Below are 22,055 nucleotides of genomic sequence, written 5' to 3' on the forward strand. Positions count from 1 at the left end.
TGGGGGAAGAGGCGATTGCTGCGTCCAGTTTTAGAGAGACCCGAAGGAGTTGGAGGCTGCTCTGGAAATTGTCAAGAGACCCCACATTGTCATTTGTCATTGAGAACTGAGAAGGGAGTGGGGATGGGGAAGGATGAAGGAGAAGGGAACGGGAAGGAAGCTTTTTACCTGCTGGGACAGCTTTCCCCTTTTAAGCTCTTGGAGTAATGCCCCTGACATCTTTATTAGCATCTTGAAGATAGGAAAACAGTTACGGGACGTGTATGGGGCAAGTACATACATGACTGCTCCATGGAGTGCCCTGTCAACTCTGGTTCAGACTCAGGCAGATTGGGATTCAGTTCTCCATTCTCTTCTCACTCTGGTTCCTTGGCCCAGCCCAGTAACTTGGTCTCTCTGAAGCCCAGTGTCATCATCTTTCATGGGGTGAATGGAGCCCAGCTCTCGGATTCGGTTATGCGTTGTGTGCGGGGGATGATCCGAGAGGAATGCACAGAGCCGGGCCCAGGGCATGTGCGTGGCAGCCGCAGCTCCAGCTAGAAATGATTCAGATGGAAATGCACATTACACTGGAGCTGGGGTCCTGCTTTGATTCCATCGTTCCCAGTTCCTTCCTCCGTGTGGTTTGCCCATCTTGAGCTCTTGGGCAGGGATGGGGGAGGCAACACCCCAAGCACCAAGATTCCAGGTTTGAAGTCCTACGCGGGCTGCTGAGGAGGATTCTGTGTTTACCTAGACCTCTTTCATATAGCCCTTCAAAAAGATAATCACTCCCTGAGGCCATTTCTCTGGAAATTTCCCTTAAAGGATTCCATATTTGAAGGTGATAAAGAAATGACAGGCATTTAAGCAGTCTAAGGCAAGGCTTGGGCTCTCTTCCACCTGACTGGTTCCCTCCTGCTTTTAACAGGAAATGCCTCCTGCTCTTTCTCCCCACCAGGGCCAGGCAGTCCCCAAGAAACAGGCATCTCCCCCACGGTCGTCTGCTGGCTTAAGCCAAGCTGTTCCCTCTGACACCGCCCCTGTGTGGCATATGATGTTGCAACACCTCCCACCCAGGAAGCAGCAGTTTCATCTGTGTTGACAGGCACTGTGAAATAGTGAATCTGCACCGAATTGGTTTGTTTGAGTAGTAGTACTGTCTCTTTGACTCCTGATCAATATTTGGCCAGTTGCGTCGGGTGTGAAACTCCGAGGGGGCAGGTGCTGGAAGAAGGCCCCTGGAGGAACCTTGAACTGCAGATAGTTTAAGGCACTTGGAAATTACACTGACTTTCAGACAGAGCATATCACATTAGTTTATCTAAAGCCCCAAATGAAGAGGATGGGGTGGGGGTGGGGAGCCTACTATTTACTGTGGAACCACTGAGAAAATATCCTTGACATTGATTTAGGATCAGAGGACCTTGGGTGCTCTGCTAGAAGACTCTTCATTACTTAAGGAAGCCTGGGATCATAATTAAAGGTGGTTCAGAGTGAAGGCAGAAATTCTCAGAGCTGGTGAGGAGCAGTACCTTCATGCCTGTGAGAAGCAATCGGACCCCAGTGGGAACATAATCAGGCCCCTGAAAGGGGAAAGGCTGTTGTCAGGAGGCCTCACAGGGGATATTTGTTTAGAGATCCGGGTGTGGCACCTCCCGCATGGTTAAAAGGCTTCAATTTTGTGCAAAAGGACGTATCAAGAGGTCTATCAGACTTCCCTTTGTTAGGTGCAGTTTACAAGGACCATTGAGAAGAGATAGATAAGTACAAGTATTGGGCATCTGTGGTGTGCCCTCGAGAGTGCTCCTGGTGTTCATTTTAGACCAGTAGAAAACTCACCTCGCCTTGGGGGCCAGAGAGCTGCCGGGGAAGTGGGCTGAGCAGAGGCAACGGGGAGTGGTGGAGACTATGGCAAAAAAAAAGAAAAATTGAGTACACACTCCCATCTAAAGGAAATGGTTGCTCTCCTGCTCTAGCTCACCACTGCCACGTGTGGATGCAGGCGTGATTTTAAAGCCCATATTTATATGTAAAATATACCATTTTTTTAACACTGTGTGGGCCATAGAGTGTGTCCACGTACTTGCCATTGGGCCTGAGGCCCACAACTTTGGGTTTATCCACAGTGTTCCCTCGTAATCCTCACTGCAACCTTGTGAGGAAGATAATTGCTAGACCCTAGTCATCCATTTTACAGATGCGGACACAGGATTTGCATGGGTCTGGCTCCAAAGCCCACACTTTCTGTTATACCAGCTCTTCCAAACTGATCTATAGAATTCTGTTTTGCTGCGTTTGCCTGTTTCCTTTTTGGACTTTTGAGGGAGGTGTTGTTTGAAAGAAGGGTTTCCATCACTTAAAGAGCAAGCAGAACTTTGGAAGCACAAGGCACAGTGGTGTCTGCCTGCTCGCTTGCCTGAGTTATTTGACGGGTGTCTGGTACTATCGTTGCCCCAGTCGCCAAGCATCGGTGGTTTTTGTTCCCTCTGTAGACTGAATGCTTTTCTTATTAGCAGAAGGCATGAGTTAAAGACCAGAGACAAGATCCTCAACACATTTGAGGCTCCTGGCAGTGACCCCAGGAATGAATTGTGTGGCACTGATTTTGTACATGGAATCCTCTTCAATGGAGGACGCTCAAAACAGCATCCCTCATTCCGTCAGAGAAACGCGAGCCCCTGCCAAGGGTACCAGTGATAAGGAGCTTGGTGGTCCCTGCCTGGGAGATGCTTGCAGCTCAGTCAGGGGGACACAGAGGTGGGTAGGTGGTGAGGACAGAGGGTGATGGGCACACAGGGTGAGGAGGGAAGCAGTGAGAGTGCAGGAGGACACGGGTGGCCCATCGGCCTCAGAGGGGAAGCAGGGTGTTGAAGCTGGATTTTTTTCTTTTCCTTTTTTTTTTTTTTTTTGAGATAGGGTCTTACTCGGTCACCCAGGCTGGAGCACAGTGGCATGATCAAAGCTCACGGCAACCTTCACTTCTTGGGTTAAAGTGATCTTCCACCTTAGCCTCCTGAGTAGCTGGGACTATAGGTGTGCGCCACCACACCTGGCTAATTTTTGTGTTTTTTTCTAGAGCCGGGGTTTCACCATGTTGTCCAGGTTGCTCTCGAACTCCTGGCCTCGAGCGATCCACCCACCATGGCCTCCCAAAGTGTTAGGATTACAGGCGTGAGCCACCACGCCTGTCCTTGAAGCCGGATCTTTAAGGGGGCTGGGGTGGGGGCTGGCCAGAGATGCGTCCATGAAGAGGAAGATGGCAAGCCATGAGGCTGACGATGTGGAAGGGGAACATGTCACACAGGACCTGTGGACCACGGGAAAGACTAAGGCTGTTACTCCATATACAACCAACTTTCTGTTCATTCAGCAAGTATTGATTGAGAGCCCACTACGTGCCAGGCACTGTCTTAGATGCAAGGTAATGAACCAGACAAGACAGAAAAGGCGCCAGCCTTGTGGAGCTTCCACCTAGTGGGGGAGATAGATAATTACAGATCGTCAATGAAGTCAATAATACAACTCCACGTACTAGTAAGTGCTGGGAAGAATCTAAGCTCTGTGAAGGAGCAGGCCTGTCAGCCTGTGCAGAGGGGCAGAATTCAGTGCCAAGAATACAGTGCAGTTGATAATTGTGTTTCAAAAAAAGGCTTGGCCTCTCCTTACTGTCGCAATCTGGGATCAGCACTGATCCACGGGCCGAAACTTACTCCCCACCACCTTTTGTGTAACCATGAGCTAAGAATGGTTTCTATATTTTTAAACAGTTGGAGAAAAATCAAAAGAATATTTTGCAACACATGAAAATCCTATGAAATTGAACTTGTGTCCATAGATATTTCTGCTGGAGCACAGCCACACTCATTCATGTTTACATACTATCTGTGCTGCTTTGTGCTTCAAAGGTGGAATCAGTAGTGGTTACGAGAGACCATGTGGCCTGCAAAGCCGAAAATATTTACTATCTGGCCCTTTACAGAAAAAATGTTTGCCATCCTCTATTCTAGGCCCTCCTAGTACTCTGCAAATGCCTCCTCCAAATTTGGCCCAGTATAGCTAGAAAAAGCCACTACCCAGGATGGGGGGTAGAGAACAGAAGAGACATCTCTCATCAGACTGCTCTTCCTATAGCTCCTCAGCCTGCAAAGCCCTGGCCTCATGCTCCTCCTCTCGTGTAATCAGGGACAAGCATGGATCTTTGGAGGCCATTAAGTTACAGAATTCCCTTCCTGGCAGGTGATCCTGTTAGAGCGAGGCCAGATCTACCTCCTTTGAGAGCTTAACTCAGTATTTTTTAATACATTGAGACAGTGAGATTCTGTACCATCATTCAAGACAATGACACTAAGCTCTACTTATTGACGAGGAAATATACCCATGAGTTGTTGAGTAAAACACAACAACAAAAAATTCTAGGGCCAGTCATGGTGGCTCACGTCTGTAATTCCAGTACTTTGGGAGGCCAAACAGGGAGGATCACTTGAGCCCAGAAGTTCAAGACCAGCATGGGCAACATAGTGAAACCCCGTCTCTATTTTAAAAATTTAAAATTAGCTAAGTGTGGTGGTATGCACCTGTAGTCCTAGCTACTTAGGAGGCTGAGGTGGGAGGCTTACTTGAGCTCAGGAGGTTGAAGCTGCAGTGAGCCATGATCCAGCCACTGCACTCCAGCCTGGGTGACAGAGTGAGACACCACCACAAAACAAAACCAAACATTCCATTCTAGTGCCATCCACATCCTATTCTATTTCTATCAATTGTGCGTATGTACTTTCACATGTATATAAAGAGATAACTGCATGTTGGAGTCCCAGAATGTTCACAATCGTTTTCTCTGGGCACTGAGATTTGGGGTGAATTTTTTCTTTTAACTTTCTTTTTACTTTTTTGTACTACTTGGGTTCCTTTTTTAAAAAATATTAACATGAATCATCTTAATGCACACAGAAAAACCCATCTATTTTAATTTCAAAAAATAAGAAGAATGGTTGCATCTGTATGTGGGTGACAGAATTATTTATGGGGGTATGATGTAACTGTCAGAGAGGGATGCTTCCCCATACAGTGTTCATTGCTATTTGGAGCAGGGGAATGAATGCTTTCAGAATGAGGAAGATAAATAAGAACATGGTGGGAGGTGAGAAAAGATAGAGAAGTTAGGAAATCTGAGATGGTCATCATTATGGGATATAGAAGCTTCCCAATATGTACATCTCGGTTCGTTATTAGTATTTGGAACGCTGGGGGTGTAGCTATTTCCTGATCTTTCCCCCGCCTCCTCCGTGTTCTGTCTTGAAAAACTATGAAGCCACTTAGAAGCCGGAGTATTTAAAAACAGTAGGTTGGCGCCACCTAGTGCCCACGTTCTGTCACTCCGCCCTCATGTCTCCGTGGAAGCCTCCCTTCAGATTCTTTGTTTGATGTCCCTTCTCTGGTGGCATTTGCGCAGCGGACAGCGTGATGCCTCCCAGGGGTTCTGCGGGGCAGTGGGAATGACCCACTAATTTATCCCTTCCTCCCTCCCTCCCTTCCTTCCGTTTCTGTCGCACTAAGTGAACCTTACCAACTGAACTGGGGTTTGGCAGTTGAAGAGTAAAAGGTGGCCTCCCTGTCAAAACCAATCTACTTTTCTCCACCGGCCAGGTCCTCAAAGCTGGGCCATGCGTCTCTGGCAGGAAAGCCATCCTGTCCCCAGAGCTGCCTTGGGTTTTGGGTTCTTGAGTAGGAAATACGGGAGTCTGGTTCCTGGTGGGCTGCAGGGCATGTGGGTGGTCTTTGGAAGATGCCAGCGGGTCAGAACCAAGCCGTGGTCCCCTGGCCTGTCTCTGCCAGCACGCCCGCTTACTTCTTACCCGGTTCCTGCACCCAAACCAGAAGGTCCTCCTCACCCTCCCCTGCCCTCCTTACCCGGCACATCACCAGGCCTCTGCGTTTTACCTCCTAACTGTAAGCTCTAGGACCTGCCATTCCTCCCTGGTCTTCCAGCAATTGGCCATTGCCGCCCCTCCTCACAGGCCCCCTCCTCCACACTTGGCTTCTCTGGGGCCTTCTACACTCAGCTGAAGTTCAGGGGATCTTTGTAAAGCACCAACCTGATTGCATCACTCTGGGGCTCAGTTCTTTCCAGGGGTGTCCAAGGACTCGTGGGAGAAAGGCCAGAGTTCAAATCTGGCCCCAAGGCTTCTCACTGCAGCTACACCTGTGCCCTGCCTGCCTGTCTTTTCTGTGACTTGCTCCAGCCCCTCAGACCTTCCCACCGGATCCCTTTACAGCTCCCACCCCCTTCATCTCCATAAGCTCTCAGCTCTCAGTTACATGAACCTTCCTCAAGGGCATCTTCCCTGGGTGCCAAAGCCCGAGCCACCTCTTCCTCTCCCTCCTCTCCCTCCATCCTGTCCTGGCGTGCAGTGATGGCTCTGCGCATGGGATTCTTTGGTGAGCCTCCATCTCTTAGAGTGGAGGTTCTCAGCCGAAGGTGATTGGCCCCTGCAAGCAACCTTTGGCAACACCTGGAGACATTTTTGGTTGTCACAAGTTGAGGACGGGGAGCAGAGCTACTGGCATCTAGCAGATGGAGGCCAGGGATGCTGCTATACAGTACACAGGACAGTCCCCAAGAGCAAGGCATTGTCTAGCTCAAGAGGTCATGGGTGCTGAGGGTGAGAACCCCTGCCCTGGACCATCAGCTCCATGAAGGCAGGCAGCACGGCCACACGGGTCTGGACACCCCTGAGAAAGCACACATTTCCGGCTGACTGGATTGGACCTGTTGAGCATTTGTATAACTCATTCAGACCTGTCAAGGTCTCAACACTTTCATAGGTTTGTCTGTAAATAGATTTAGATCCACCGTGTCCCTTAAACCTCTCAGCCCCAAGGAATAAGAAGATGAATGAGCCTGACTTTTCCTTACACCCCACGTCAGGATAATTACACGGGGTTCTGCTGTTCCAGAGAAAGTCATCCTTGTGTTATGTGACTTTGCTTTAAAATTATTTAAAGTCTCATCTTAAATTTATTTATTTACACTCGGACCTGTTTACAATAAGATTTCGTCTACAATTTTAGTTAGCACACTCCACCAGTCCAACGGCCTGGCTTCTTCAAAACGTCCATCATGAAGAAAAAGGCTGTTGACCATGAGGCTGAAGTCAGGGGGACACAGTGATTAAGGATCTTTTGGAGACAGCGGGGAAAATTTGAATATGGACTATATATGAGATAATAGTATTGAATTCATGTTTAGTTTCTTTCATGTGAAACTGGTATTATGGTTACATAGGAGAGTGTCCTCAATCTTGGGAGATGCAGGACAGAGTATCTAGAGGAGAAGCGTCAGAATGCTGCAGTGTTTACTGGCCTAGCAGAAAAACAGTTCTGTGTGTGTGCGCATGTGCATCTGTGTCCCGTGCATGTGTGTGTGTGCATCTGTGCCCCATGCACATGTGTGCGTGTGTGCGTCTGTGTCCCGTGCACGTGTGTGTGCGCATGTGCCTCTGTGCCCCGTGCACATATGTGTATGTGCATTTGTGTCCCGTGCACGTGTGTGTGCATCTGTGTCCCTTGCACACGTGTGTGTGCATCTGTGTCCCGTGCACGTGTGTGTGAGAGAGAGGGAGAACAATGTTCTCCCTCTCTCTCTACACACACAATGTTAAGAGGACCCAGGAGAAGGGAGCATGGGTGCTTCCTGTATTACTCTTTCAACTTTTTGAGGCTGCAGTCCTTAGGGGCACGGATTGAATGGCGCATTGTTCTGAAAGCTCCCTGAGCTGAGCCCTGTGTATCTTCAGTTTGCAGCTCTCCACCCATCCACATGAAGGTGCAGCCTCTGAACCAGACGGCACTGCAGGTGTCCTGGAGCCAGCCGGAGACTATCTACCACCCACCCATCATGAACTACATGATCTCCTACAGCTGGACCAAGAATGAGGACGAGAAGGAGAAGACGTTTACAAAGGACAGCGACAAAGACTTGGTATGAAGCCCCTCCTCTGATTCAGGGTACATGCTGCAGAGAGGGACTCCTGCTGCAGCTCTCTGCCAGGCACTGCACAGTGTGCCAGCTCTGTGTCATCTGTCCTCACACTGTCTGGTGAACATGGGCACTGCCATTGCTGCGCTGCTCGAGAGTGCCGGGGAGGACAGTGGATGGAGCCTGCCTGGGCGCCATCCTGACCTTAGACTTAACAGCTATGCAACCCGGAGAGCCGGTTCATTTCTTTAGATTGGTTCCTTTAAAACTGACTGCTTTTTCTTTCATTATTAACAGCCTCAATTAGGCCCTTTTCATCTGATGGGATTATCATAAATACTAAATGAGCTATGCAAGTATTCAACAGGTCCTATATAACTGTATAAATATTAACTATTATTTATTACGATCATTCTCCTCTTCCTCTTCCCCTACTAAAGCTACTGCTGCTGATGTCACCACCACCACTGTCCACAGTCGCTGCCACTTCCCTTTGTCACATTTGTTCTGCCTTACACATTTCCAATACCTGCCAAACCCCTACAGCTGTGTAATATTTTATCTCTTTTCTCAGATACTCAAATGCTATACTATCTGACCTCACTTTGGGCTACACGTGCCTAATTCAATGTCTCCTCTAAAAATTTACATAAATGTTTAGTGTCCAACACACAAGCCCCTTCAGAACAGATGTTTGCAGAAGCCATCTCCTTCCCTATAAAGCAAACTCCACAACTACTGTCTTTTTTTTTTTTTTTTTTTTTTTTTTTTTTTTTGAGACAGAGTCTTGCTCTGTCGCCCAGGCTGGAGTGCAGTGGCGCAATCTCGGCTCACTGCAAGCTCCACCTCCCGGGTTCATGCCATTCTCCTGCCTCAGCCTCCCAAGTAGCTGGGACTACATGCATCCGCCACCATGCCTGGCTAATTTTTTTTTGTATTTTTAGTAGAGACAGGGTTTCACCGTGTTAGCCAGGATGGTCTCCATCTCCTGACCTCATGATCCGCCCACCTCGGCCTCCCAAAGTGCTGGGATTACAGGCGTGAGCCACTGCGCCCAGCCTACAACTTCTGTCTTTAAGTCTTTGCCTAAAAACTCAAAGTGACACATTTGGTTTGAAAGCCTTGCGTTTATTGTTAATCAAAGGAAGGCTCTGGAATAATGAAACCCGTAATTGTATATGCACATGAAAAATGCAGTAGCACCAAGTGGGATTCTTAATGACTGTTATCACTTTTTTTCTCCAATACAGAGTCCTCCGGGCCCATTCAATCAGTTATAGAATAATACTTTTCATATTTCTTTAGATGAAGATTCTTTTACTTCATTTCCATTTATATTTTCAATTTCCCCACTAGACATTGTTATCTGGGTCACGTTAGGGAATGATGAGCTTCGTGAAATCAAAGAGGAATGTGTTGAAAGGCACCCAAGGTTATGATGTATTTTAACCTTTCTCTTGTCACAACTGGAAGTCCATAAGGGATTTTTCTCTTTCTGGAGTGAAGATGGCTTGCATTAATCAGCAGAAACCATCTAGGCGCTTATGCAGTTTCTTGTTCTAAGTGGAAAATAATTAAACATGCAAAGATGAATAGATACCGTCTTGGAGTGAATTCTAATAAATCCCTGCATAGATGGAGTGAAGATTTCGCTCTGAACAGAAGATGGGGTCAGAGGTTTAGAGAATGAAGCATAAATTAGTTTCAGAGAAAAAGAGAGATGTAGAGAAAAACATGCATTGACAGCAACTTCTTTCTTACAAGAATTTCTAGGGCTGGTTATTTTCTTTGGGGACACACAAAATTAATTTTTCTAATTCCTCAGCGAGTGAAGAGTGCTGACTTAGTGGCAACAGAGCTATTCTCTAACTCATCATGGTTATTGTGGCCCAGAAACCTGGAAGTAATACATATCATTTGAGCAGCATTTTCTAGAGGGCATCCACCTTCCGCATCGTCACCACAAACCTGTGGGCAGGTGTTATTGCCCGCCTTTTCCAAACGAGATCAGTGAGGCTTAAAGTTAAATAACATGGCCCTAGCCTACCCCTCTCACTAGGAAGCTGCTTTCAAGGCAACAGCAGCAGGTGTGGCCACAATAACATTTTAATACCAGTTCAGAGGTTTTCAATAGCTGCGTTGGGAAAACCCACTCCCAATCGGTGGCTAAGCTCACAGAGCTGCTTCTATACTTGGCCCAGAACACATGCTTTGATGATAAGACAACTCATCTATTAAGAAGAGTCTTTGAAAATCAGTTGCTTTTGTTGTTCGTTTCTTTAGGAAGCAAGTGCTGCCTGTTTTTTAGGTAGTTTCCATTTTCTCGTTTTTAAAGGCTGTCAGAATGAAACTGTGAGGAAGAGGGACCTGGATTTGGCTAATGTTTGACAAGAGGTTGGCAAACTTTTTTCTGGAAATGGCTACATAGTAAATATCTGAGGCTTTACAGGTCATGGAATCTCTGGCATAACTACTCAACTCTGCCATTGTAGAGTGGAGGGAGCCATACACCTACCTAAACAAATGGCCGTGGCTGTGCCAATAAAACTTTATTTATAAAAACAGACAGTGGGCCACAGCTTGCCAACACCCCTATGTTAGCCAAGTGGCATTCTTTCTGTTGCTCGGTGTGGTCTACCTCTGAGCAAGGTTTGCTGGGCCTATGTTATGTAATTCTCACAAGTACCTATGAAGTAGCTCTTCCTCTCCCCATTTTACAGAAGATAGCAGAGGCTGAAAGAACTGACTCAGAACCCCACAGCTTGTGAGTGGTATGAGGAGACTATGTCCTCTGCCTTCTAGCCTGGTGTTCTTCCTTGCATCATGCCCCATACTCTGCGTAATAAAAATACAGCGAGGCCTTTGAACTGTAAAGAAACAGACCTGGGCAGGCAGGGTGGCTCACGCCTGCAATCCCAGCATTTTGAGAGGCTGAGGCGGGCAGATGATCGAGACCAGCCTGGCCAACATGGCAAAACCCCGTCTCTACTAAAAATACAAAAATTAGCTGGGCTTGGTGGCGGCCTCCTGTAATCCCAGCTACTCGGGAGGCTGAGGCAAGAGAATCACTTGAACCTGGGAGACGGAAGTTGCAGCGAGCTGAGATTTTGCCATTGAACTCCAGCCTAGGTGACAGAGTGAGACTTCATCTCAATAAAAAAAAAAAAGAATAATGTTACTCTTTCCTGTGTCCTGAACATTTCGGTGTTGAAAACAGGTTCCCAGGGAAGCTCATAAAAATAGATTCCCAGGCAGGGTCCAAGCGGTCTTTCCTTCCAAAGTGAGCCTTTGGTCAGCAGGGAAGCATCACACCTGTCAGGCATTGTCACGGCACTCAGGTTTGGCTTTAGAATGCAAAGTGTGCCTTGGCCTTCAAAACTAACTCACTGCTTTTTCCTTCTTTACTTACAGAAAGCCACCATTAGCCATGTCTCACCCGATAGCCTTTACCTGTTCCGAGTCCAGGCCGTGTGTCGGAACGACATGCGCAGCGACTTTAGCCAGACGATGCTGTTTCAAGGTGAGGCTGGCTTCCCCTCCTGTGGCCGGGGTGCCCCTGAGACTCCCTCCCAATGCTTTCTGCTTCTTCCTGCTCAGGTGCTGGGGAAAAATACAAACAAGCCTGGCAGAAGAATCAGTGTAGGGTTTTAAAGCCTATGCGGGAAGCCCTAGTAATTTAGGTCTTTTAGGTTGGAGGTTTTATCGGCAGAAGAGGGGAGAAAAAACAAAACATTTTTGATTGTTTTATTGTTATTTTCCAACTGTGGGGAACCAAGTACTCGGGCCTTTTTCTCGGTCACTGTCCAGCGCTGTGTCAGATCACACAATCACTTCCAAGTTGTACCGCTGAATATCCTCTTTGTCTTTCTAACGTGATTCAGTTAGCTGTTCTCTCAAAAACTGCAGCCCATAGCAGCTACACCTCACCCTTCCGACTTGCAAGCCACACAAACAAGCGCCTGCATGCAGGATCCTTGAGATTCCTGGATCTAGATAGATGGTCCTGATGACTTAGGGACTAATAGAAAGGTCCAGGGCCAGAACTAGGGTGAAGCAAATGGGACATTTGCCTTTGCTCAAAATTTTAAGGGGCACCAAAAAATTGAGTGACCAAGAGACATAACATTTTAGTGGGATTTTTTTTGTTTGTTTGTTTGTTTTGAGATGAAGTCTCGCTCTGTTGCCCAAGCTGGAGTGCAGTGGGGTGGTGTTGGCTCACTGCAACCTCTGCCTCCTGGGTTCAAGTGATGCCTCAGCCTCCTGAGTAGCTGGGATTACAGGCACCTGCCACCACGCCCAGCTAATTTTTTGTATTTTTACTAGAGACGGGGGTTTCACCATGTTGGCCAGGCTGGTCTTGAACTCCTGACTTCGTGATCTGCCTGCCTTAGCCTCCCAAAGCTCTGAGATTACAGGCGTGAGCCACCACGCCCGGCAATGGGATGTTTTTTAAAAGCAAAATTAGGCTGAGTGCGGTGGCTCACACCTGTTATCCCAGCACTTTGGGAGGCTGAGGTGGGTAGATCAGGAGATCAGTTCGAGACCAGCCTGGCCAACATGGTGAAACCCCGTCTCTACTAAAAAAAACAAAAATTAGCTGGGCTTGGTGGTGCGTGCCTGTAATCCCAGCTACTCCCAGCTACTTGGGAGACTGAAGCAGGAGAATCACTTGAACCTGGAAGGCGGAGGTTGCAGTGAGCTGAGATCATGCCACTGCACTCCAGGCTGGGCAACAAGAGTAAAACTCCGTCTCGAAAAATGAAAATATAATAAAATAGATACAAAAATAAAAATAAAAGCAAAATTAATGTAAAAATCTCATGAATAAAATATCTGAATTTTAAGTAGAGATAGATACACTCTGTCTTACTTGCGCCAACCTAATCCCAGTCCTGGTTCCAGTATTATTTAGGCAGCTGTGGGCTGTAGCCACGGGCCGTAGTTTGGTGATTTGGTTTGATGACAGGCCTTAAGACCAGCATGGAAGTAGGGACCAGGGTGCTGGACTCTGCTCTGCCAGCCTGAGGTCCTCTTGGATCAGGTCCTTGACTTCTCAGGTCCTCAGTTTTCCCTGAGGGAAAACTTATCTGTCAAATAAGAAAACCACGCCAGGTTAACCAGGCCAGTGGTGAACGCTTTTTGAGTTACAAATCTGATGAAGGTTTGGACATTTTCCCTACAAAGTGCTAGAATTTTGCATACAACTTTGGGGACCCAGTCAGGCATGTGAGTTGTGGACCAGCAGCAGCAGCAGCAACTGCAAGATCTCCTGGAAGCCTCATTTGAGAAGTGCACATTCATGGGCCCCTCCCAGACCAACTGCATCAGAATCTTACCTGGGGCAGGGGGCGTTATCCAGGAATCTGAGCTTTCACAAGTTGGCCCTGATGGCCCTGGGAGCTGGCAGGCACTGTAAGGGGTTCTGGAGTGAGGACCTCTGGTCTGAGTCCCAGCTGCCTTTTGGAAGCTGCACAACTTTGAGAATGTTTCTTAACTGCTTGAACCTGTAGTTTCCCAATCCAAAAAGTGGCAGTATCCATAGTACCTACCCCATAGGGTCTTTGTAGAATGATGTGGGGTAATGGATGTTAAGTCATTCACATAGTGCTAGTTACTGGCACTATGTATAAATCCCCCCCTTAGTATTAGTATATAAAAATAATAAATAATAAACCTAGGATTAGAAGCTCTCCAGCCTAGATTTCCTGCAAGGATCCCTTCTGGCTTGAACATTTTCCATTTAGTATTTAAATATTCTTTGCTAATGTTCACATTGATCTCATCCTTCCATTTAAACTAATGGAAATGAGCATAGCTGCATTTTTTTCCATAAATAAATCATGCTCCCTGTGCCCACCTTTACTGTGAACATATTGGTCTCTTTCCCTGTGTCGAGGAAGGACTGCAGGCCAAGGCCAGGTCTGTGCTGGCCTAGGGGAGAAGGAAGGAAGGCAGACTGGGAGCTTGCTGAGGCCGGGGCCCTTGGAACTTCGGACACATAAATCATGATTAAGGCCTCCTATGTGCTCCATCCAAGAGCCTAGAATCTGCAGAACTGCCTTACCTGATTAATAGACCCAGGGCTCCCTGGCTTCTGCATGGACTTTGAAAAATTAAATGTTTGTAATATAATGTAATTCAAAAAGGCCCTGTCAGCTAATAAGTTCAAAGCATGGAATAGTTTAAATGTCTGATGACGATGACTTGCTGAAAATGGCCAGTGTCTCCTTGTCTACAGACTTTCTTTCCTCAGAGGTGGACGTGAGTTTACTCATTACATATATTGGCATTTATCCCTCTATGTTGATAAGGGGGCAAGTTTTAAAATGGAAAGAAAAAAGATATCTCCTTTTTCAGAATAATTAGGTTTCTCAGTAATAAATTTAATCTGGCTTGGGAGCATTAGGAAGCCACATGGAATATTTACCATATTATAGTAAATATAACACTATTTAGGTTGTATGTAACATTGCAATAAATATGTTTACCTTACTGTGGAAAATATAACAATAATATAACAATAATAATAGCAAGCAATATTTGTAGAATGGCTCACAGTGACAGCATTGTTACATAAGTTATTTCATCTGAACCTCACTTTATGGCAGCTGGTGCAGTAGGGGTTATTTTACAAACAGGGAAATGATGGCTTGGGTGCAGGTGACTTCAGAAGAACTCTGCTACTAAGCTGAGTTGGGTTTTCTTATTGCAAAGCCCAATCACTAACACACAGCAATGGCCCACCCCAAAGAGTAAAAATTACCAAATACCTGCAGTCTTCAACAAAAGGTTGAAAATATTGATGAGATATTCAAAGCCTTTTTGCAGTTCTCAACAGTCATGGAAAATGGGGGTTTATATGCTTCTTCTCTGAGCCACAGACTCATCCGTGGCAAAGCCCATGGATCCTCTCTCAGACTGGTTTTAGATAAATAAGTGAAATACACAGGAAAGGAACCAATTATATTCAATACAGTTGTCAAAATATTTTAAACACATTTGGGATATAATAATATATGTGCTTTTTAAAATTAAGGTATTAAATGACAAGTGGTTGGTCTGTTAGCTCCAGTGATTTTTGAATAGTGACGAACATCAATGATATTCCAAAATAGCTACAACAACTCTAAGGCAGTAAGAAAATATCTGAGATTTCAATCAGAGACAAAGCTGCAGGTCCTGCGAATGCAGTTGAGATTGGTTGCCTACATGCATAGTGGAAAAAAGGGCACCATTGCAGTGAGAGCTTAGAAAAACCCCATTAGGCCCATGGACCCTAGGTTAAACACTCCTGATCTGAAAGGTCCTGTAGAAGCTAGTCCTAGTTACTAGGGCTATCAGTGACCCCAGTGGATATTGACCCCAATGGAGATTGTTCAAGACCAGTGGAAAGCCACATGCTGATGGGGTGGCTGTTCAGTTTGTTGGCATTAAATAGAGCTCCTTTTAAAGGGGAGGTAAAGTAGTTCCTCCTGGGAATCTTTTTTCCTGTCTTAACTAGGGGAGGCATGCACACCTGTCTGAAGCATGAAGTATTGATCTTTGAGCAGCTCAATGATCATGGGAGGCTATATTTAGGCTGGGTGAGACCCCTGTTATTTGCTTTCTTTGCTACCTTATTTGACCTGGGACCTACACACGTTTGACTTTCCAACTGTGCAAAATGGATATATCATCAGGTCAAGGTTGCAAACTCTGGCATCCATGGGGCCAGGCAGGGGGCATGTACACATGAGGGGAGTGCCATCAGTGGGAAATTGGAGACCATGTGGCCACCTAAAGGGGGTGATGGACACTCAGCCCCAGCCGAATGGTGCCCTGCTGGAAGGTGAGCCTAGTTTTGCCAATATCGTGAGTTTTCAGATAAGCAAGAGATTGAGAGCTTTAGATAAAGCTACCATCTACAATATTGGTGGCAAATTCTGTTTTGTTTTGTTTTGTTTTGTTTTTATAGAAGTTTGCAGGCCAAACAAAAATATATGTGGGTCACTTGCCATTTCTGGTTTTGGTACCTGTCATAGCAGGTACAAGTGTTATTACAGCATTTTCGCTAATCTCTCAGTGTATATAGGAAGCAGCTTTTCAGTTTATATAGCACTTTTGTTTTTTGAAAGAACCACATAGAAGCAGTTTGATGGAGTTTTTAAAAAGTCATGTTGTTTAGCATTATTTGCAATAGCCAAAAGGTGAAAGCAACCTAAGTGTCCATTGACCGATGAAGGGATAAACAAAATGTGCTATATACACACAATGGAATATTATTCACCCTCAAAAAGGAAGGGAATTCTGACACATGCTGCAAGGTGGATGAAGCTTGAGGACGTTATGCTAAGTAAAATAAGTGAGACACAAAAGGACAAATATGTATGATTCCACTTATATGAAGTATCCGGAGCAGTCAGATTCATAGAGAAAGTACCGTGATGGTTGCCAGGGTTGGGGGAAGGAAGAAATGGGTTCTTCAATGCGTGTAGAGTTTCTGTTTTGCAAGATGACAAAGTTCTGGAGACGGATAGAAGTAATGGTTGTACAACTGTGTGAACAACCTTAACACTACTGAACCATACACTTAAACATGGTTAAGATAGTAATTATTTTATTTTATTATTTTATTTTATTTTTATTTATTTATTTTTTTTGAGACAAAGTCTTGCTGTGTCATCAGGCTGGAATGCAATGATGCAATCTCTGCTCACTGCAGCCTCCACCTCCCGGATTCAAGCGATTCTCCTGCCTCAGCCTCCCGAGTAGCTGGGACTGCAGGCGTTCACCACCACACCCAGCTAATTTTTTGTATTTTAGTAGAGATGAGGTTTCATCATGTTGGCCAGGATGGTCTCAATCTCCTGACCTCATGATCCACCTGCCTCAGCCTCCCAAAGTGCTAGGATTACAGGCTTGAGCCACTGTGCCTGGCCATTTTGTTAAACTTTAAGATGATAAATTCTGTCATGTATTTTACCGTAATCTTAAAAAAAATTTTTTTCTAAGTTATATTGTTTAATGATAACACATAGAACAGAGCTACAGGAAGAAATAAACACCAGAAAGGGTAATGTATGGTTAATACGAAATCATTAGACCATTTAAAACAATTGGCAGTAGCTTACAGGATTTTAAAATATAGGTAGGAATAAAAATATAACAGTACACAAAAGGTAAGGTGGGCAAATAGAGTTAAATTATTGTACAGTTCATTTTTAATAAGTGGTGAAATTACCAATTTAAGGTAAACAGTAATAAGTTAAGGATGGATAATTAGAATCACAAAAAGGATAAGAAATCATGACCAAAAAGATAGTAGAGGAGGAACAATGGTGTAATACGATTCCAGTTAAATCAAGTTCAAATACAGGTAAAACTGACAGAGTCCAAATAGTGGCTAGCTTTGGGGGTGGAGGTGGACATTGACTAGATGAGGGCACAGGTACACCTTTTCTCTAGCAACGTGCTGGCGATATGTCTTTATATTACTGTGGGGAGTGGTTACACAGGTGTTTACATATGTAAAATTCATTCAACTATACACCTATATTTTATGCATTTTACCGTATGTAAGCTTTTACCTCAATAAAACAGAAAACAGTAAAAATTGAAAAATAACTTTTTAACTAATAGCTTAAGACAGGGGTCAGCACGCTACTACCCACAAACCAAATCTAGCTCTCCGCATGTTTTTGTAGGACTCGTAAGCCAAGAAGGGCTTTATATTTTTAAATGGTTGGAAAAAATCTACAGAATAATATTTTGACATGTGAAAATTATATGTAATTCAGATTTGTGTTCATAAGGAATATCTTGTTAGAGCCACAAAAAAAGTTATATTGCTTAAATGTAATTTCTTTGTTTCTCAGCTAATACCACTCGAATATTCCAAGGGACCAGAATAGTGAAAACAGGAGTGGTAAGTAGAGAATGGGAAATTGCTTTGTCGTGGCTGGTTGTTAATTTGCTTGCAGTTAAAACTGTCACCACGAAGTGGCAGTATAATGTTGTTAAACTGCTCAGTGTAAAGCGGTTATAGTAGAGAAAAAATTACATTATTCACTTTTTATAATTCAGTACCTTATGAACACAAGCTGTGCAACAGTGTTAGGTGGTTATATTATATAATTTTGTGAAGGTAAAAATTCTTCATATTTTTAGTTATGATTTGTGGGATCAGACGATGCAGGACCACAAAGGAGTTAAATCTGTTCCAACCCTTTCATTTGACATATACTCAAATTCAGAGGTTGTCATTTGCGTAAAGTTATATGGATCTGAAAATTTCTGGAACCAGAATTAATATCTTAGTTTCCCCATTCCTGGTTGGTATAATGAATAATTAAAATACTAATCACAGCAGTGGTGATAATAATAATAGCCTAAAATTCACTATGCTCTTCCTGGGTTTCAGGCACAGATTATTTTATTTACTTCTCCAGGCAGCCCACAAGGTCAGTGTTACTGTTGTTCCCGTTTTACAGATGAGGAAACCGAGGCTCAGTGAGTTAAAGTAATGTGTCCAGCATCACCCAGCAGGCAAGCTAAAATTAGACTAATAGCTCAGAGCAGCACTTCTTGTTTTCCTAAGATACCTTATGTGAGTAAAACCCCCAGACTTGAGCCCCAGTTTAGTATGGTGGTAAGAACAAGCCGAGTCTTAGACCCAGGCAGCCCTGCATTTGTGCCTTCCAGGTCATGTACCTTGTGTAAGCTCTTTAACATCTCTGTGTCTGAGTTTCCTCACCTGCAAAATGGGGTGATGATCATGCCTGCCTCCAGAGTAGCATGGAAAGCCCTGGCACACGGTTGGCATTTGTTAATTGGAATTCTTGTTATTGTTGTTGATGTTGTTGTCATCTGTATGGGCTCAGATTTTCCCACGGATCAACTTAGAAACTGCAAGGTACAGTGACTCTGCAGTGCCCAACATGGAGATGCAGAGATGTAAACCAGTGCCCAGAGCATGCAGTGCAGAGCATGGCTCCTGCCTCTGACCCTGTCATTGCAGACCTGGGCAGGCTGCTTTCCCTCCTTGTCCACCCACTTCCTCACTGGGAGACAGTGGGGTTGGACTGGATCACCCAGTATCTTTCCAGACCTAGAGCTGAGTATCTACTCAAGTGTCAGTGATATACATAAAATCAAAGGTCTTCTGCCTCTCATCACCCCAAGAACAGATGACCATCTGATTTTTCCAGTTCATGACTTCTTTGTTGTGTAAGTCAGCTTTAACACTACTTAGTTTTTTTGGCACCTAGCCTCATCTTGGGTAATATCAGTGAAAAGCTGAGTTTGATCGACTAGTTATGCATTTTAACATGTTCACAATTATAAAACCATTAAAAATAAAAGTTGATCACCCATGGACCACCTAATGTCAACTTTATGCCATACATTGGAAAACTCCATAGCATAGATGAGTAAAATCCTCAGAGGGTGACAACCAGGGCCTCATTCCCAATCTCAATTACTGATGCTTCTCTGCTTTTTCTTCTTCTGCCTCTTTTCCACCCTTGCCGGGTGACCCTTTCCAGCCCACAGCGTCTCCTGCCTCTTCAGCCGACATGGCCCCCATCAGCTCGGGGTCTTCTACCTGGACGTCCTCTGGCATCCCATTCTCATTTGTTTCCATGGCAACTGGGATGGGCCCCTCCTCCAGTGGCAGCCAGGCCACAGTGGCCTCGGTGGTCACCAGCACGCTGCTCGCCGGCCTGGGGTTCGGCGGTGGTGGCATCTCCTCTTTCCCCAGCACTGTGTGGCCCACGCGCCTCCCGACGGCCGCCTCAGCCAGCAAGCAGGCGGCTAGGCCAGTCCTAGCCACCACAGAGGCCTTGGCTTCTCCAGGGCCCGATGGTGATTCGTCACCAACCAAGGACGGCGAGGGCACCGAGGAAGGAGAGAAGGATGAGAAAAGCGAGAGTGAGGATGGGGAGCGGGAGCACGAGGAGGATGGAGAGAAGGACTCCGAAAAGAAGGAGAAGAGTGGGGTGACCCACGCTGCCGAGGAGCGGAATCAGACGGAGCCCAGCCCCACACCCTCGTCTCCTAACAGGACTGCCGAGGGAGGGCATCAGACTATACCTGGGCATGAGCAGGATCACACTGCCGTCCCCACAGACCAGACGGGCGGAAGGAGGGATGCCGGCCCAGGCCTGGACCCCGACATGGTCACCTCCACCCAAGTGCCCCCCACCGCCACAGAGGAGCAGTATGCAGGGAGTGATCCCAAGAGGCCCGAAATGCCATCTAAAAAGCCTATGTCCCGCGGGGACCGATTTTCTGAAGACAGCAGATTTATCACTGTTAATCCAGGTAAGTGGTGCAGGTCTTCTTCGAGGGTTCCTGCTCCTGTGAATAGTCGTACCCTTTTTCAAAAAATTGGGAGCAGAAGGTGAAGCTTCAGAAGGTACTTAATATTCTTAGAATCATATATGTCTGTCATAGAAAAGGTGCACACATGTGAAATGTGTATGTGTGTGTCCCTGTTTTACTCCAAAAGCCTACTCTCTTACGCTGGAGTAAGTCTTTCTTTGATATTTGTTTTCTTGCCTCGGAATAACTCCAGGGACTTCAACCAGGCAATGATATACATGAATAAAAAAAGCCATCGATCTTAAGAAGTTTATTTATTAAGATTTCATTCCATATTCATTATATAATGTATCTACAAATGGCTAGTTTGGTGCCAGGGACTGGGCAGGGTGCTGTCCCAGGGGATCCTAGTCCCTGCCTAAAAAGTTTAAAGGGGAAGGCAGACAGATGACAAGACAGTAGCTAGCTGGAGCGCATGCCCAGAAGTTAGGTAGCAGGAACGTTAGAAAGCCAGCAAGCTAGATGGTGGTTAGTCGGCAAGCTAGATGGTTAACTGGCAAGCTGGAAAACTAACTAACTGAAGTTTTCGATTGTGAAATGGTAATAGAGGAAATAAACAGGATGCTGTCCAAGAGAATTATGGAGAGGATAGGGACCTACCTTAATTAAGAAAGGCCACTCTGGAGAAGTGGCTTGTTCATGGAAACCTACAGAATGAAAGGCTTCAGCCTGGGGAGAGCTGGTATTGGCCCATGGTCCTTGCCCAAGAAATACGGCCCTCTCTCCCAGAGCTCCCATTGCTGTGGGAATGAGCCAGTGTATAGACAGTGAGGCCAGGGCATGAGATCCTCATCTCCTGGTGGCAATTTTGTTGCTCTATCATATGCTCAAATCTTAATGAACCATCCTGATAGTTTCTGCAAGGGAGCCATAAGCATGAGGAGTTGTTATTGTTGTGAGGGCTTTTCTTAATAAGAAATTCTTCATTTTGCCAGACTACAAGATGTTTAGCAACAATTTTTTTTGCGTCTAAGCTGTTGTGGAGTTATAAGAGTGCAAAAAAAAAGCAACTGGTAAATATTTATTTGCTTTTGCACTTGTAAACATTAAAATTCATCTAAAGCTGAGATCTCGTATGTTAAGATACAACTTAGAATAAATTTTCATGTTTTGAATTACTTTCCTCTTAAAGCTGCTATGAACTAATTTTTTGAAGTGGGGGTCTCCTGTGGGTATTGCTCACTTTAGCTGTGACTGGGGGAAAGGTGCAGAGTAGCCTTTTGTGGAACTGAGTGAAGGAAATGTGGGGCCACTTGGGAAGCTGTTTCTGTAAGAACAGTGACATTCCCTCTAGGAATTACTTTGAAAAAGTTGAATTTCTTGCATTTGAAGACGCTGAAGAAACATGTACGGAATGCCCACTGTATAAGAGGCACCAGGCTAGGCTTTGGCAGTAGAACATAGGTAACACAGACTTCTCTTCTCTTGGGGTTTGCATTCTGGTAGGGGAGCTTGAGAATATGCCAGTAAACAAATACATACCCTTAAGTAGCCTTAATTGCTACAGTTGGGGAGCGGAGGGACAGTGTAGCTCTGAGTGGTCAAGGATGACCTCTGAGCAGAGAGCCAAGTGGTAAGAAGGAGCTAGCCATGCAAAGATCCAGGGAGGGGAATTCTGGGCTGCAGGAACAGCAGGTCCAGAGACCCTACAGTGGGGAATTAATTTGGATCAGTTGAGGAGCTATCAGGCCAGTGTGGTTAGACCAGAGGGAGTGAGGGGGAGAGGAGGGGATGGATT

At 45.5% G+C, this 22,055-nt stretch overlaps 1 protein-coding gene across 7 annotated transcripts in view, besides 3 other annotated features; it reads left to right on the plus strand.

Moving 5' to 3' along the window:
* Nucleotides 1-22,055, plus strand: part of PTPRG (protein tyrosine phosphatase receptor type G) — a 736,039-nt gene that overhangs the window by 622,123 nt on the left and 91,861 nt on the right. For all 7 annotated transcript variants that reach the window (XM_017006961.2, XM_017006963.2, NM_002841.4 and 4 more), the window contains 4 exons: nt 7,776-7,960; nt 11,369-11,477; nt 17,812-17,861; nt 19,480-20,257. In XM_017006961.2, coding sequence (XP_016862450.1) covers nt 7,776-7,960; nt 11,369-11,477; nt 17,812-17,861; nt 19,480-20,257 — 1,122 coding nt within the window. The remainder of the gene's footprint in view (nt 1-7,775; nt 7,961-11,368; nt 11,478-17,811; nt 17,862-19,479; nt 20,258-22,055) is intronic.
* Nucleotides 5,202-5,496: an enhancer, noted in NCBI's record as "tiled region #11400; HepG2 Activating DNase matched - State 12:CtcfO, and K562 Activating DNase unmatched - State 12:CtcfO". NCBI's record gives its function as "activates a minimal TATA promoter and a strong SV40 promoter by Sharpr-MPRA in HepG2 and K562 cells {active_cell/tissue: HepG2 | K562}" and the evidence as "EXISTENCE:reporter gene assay evidence [ECO:0000049][PMID:27701403]".
* Nucleotides 6,126-6,972: an enhancer, noted in NCBI's record as "H3K27ac-H3K4me1 hESC enhancer chr3:62175493-62176339 (GRCh37/hg19 assembly coordinates)". NCBI's record gives its function as "activates a minimal SCP1, AML or CMV promoter by ChIP-STARR-seq in naive H9 embryonic stem cells {active_cell/tissue: H9 hESC(naive)}" and the evidence as "EXISTENCE:reporter gene assay evidence [ECO:0000049][PMID:30033119]".
* Nucleotides 7,500-8,000: an enhancer, noted in NCBI's record as "H3K4me1 hESC enhancer chr3:62176867-62177367 (GRCh37/hg19 assembly coordinates)". NCBI's record gives its function as "activates a minimal SCP1, AML or CMV promoter by ChIP-STARR-seq in naive H9 embryonic stem cells {active_cell/tissue: H9 hESC(naive)}" and the evidence as "EXISTENCE:reporter gene assay evidence [ECO:0000049][PMID:30033119]".

Source organism: Homo sapiens, chromosome 3, assembly GCF_000001405.40.
Source record: "Homo sapiens chromosome 3, GRCh38.p14 Primary Assembly".
NCBI lineage: Eukaryota > Metazoa > Chordata > Mammalia > Primates > Hominidae > Homo > Homo sapiens.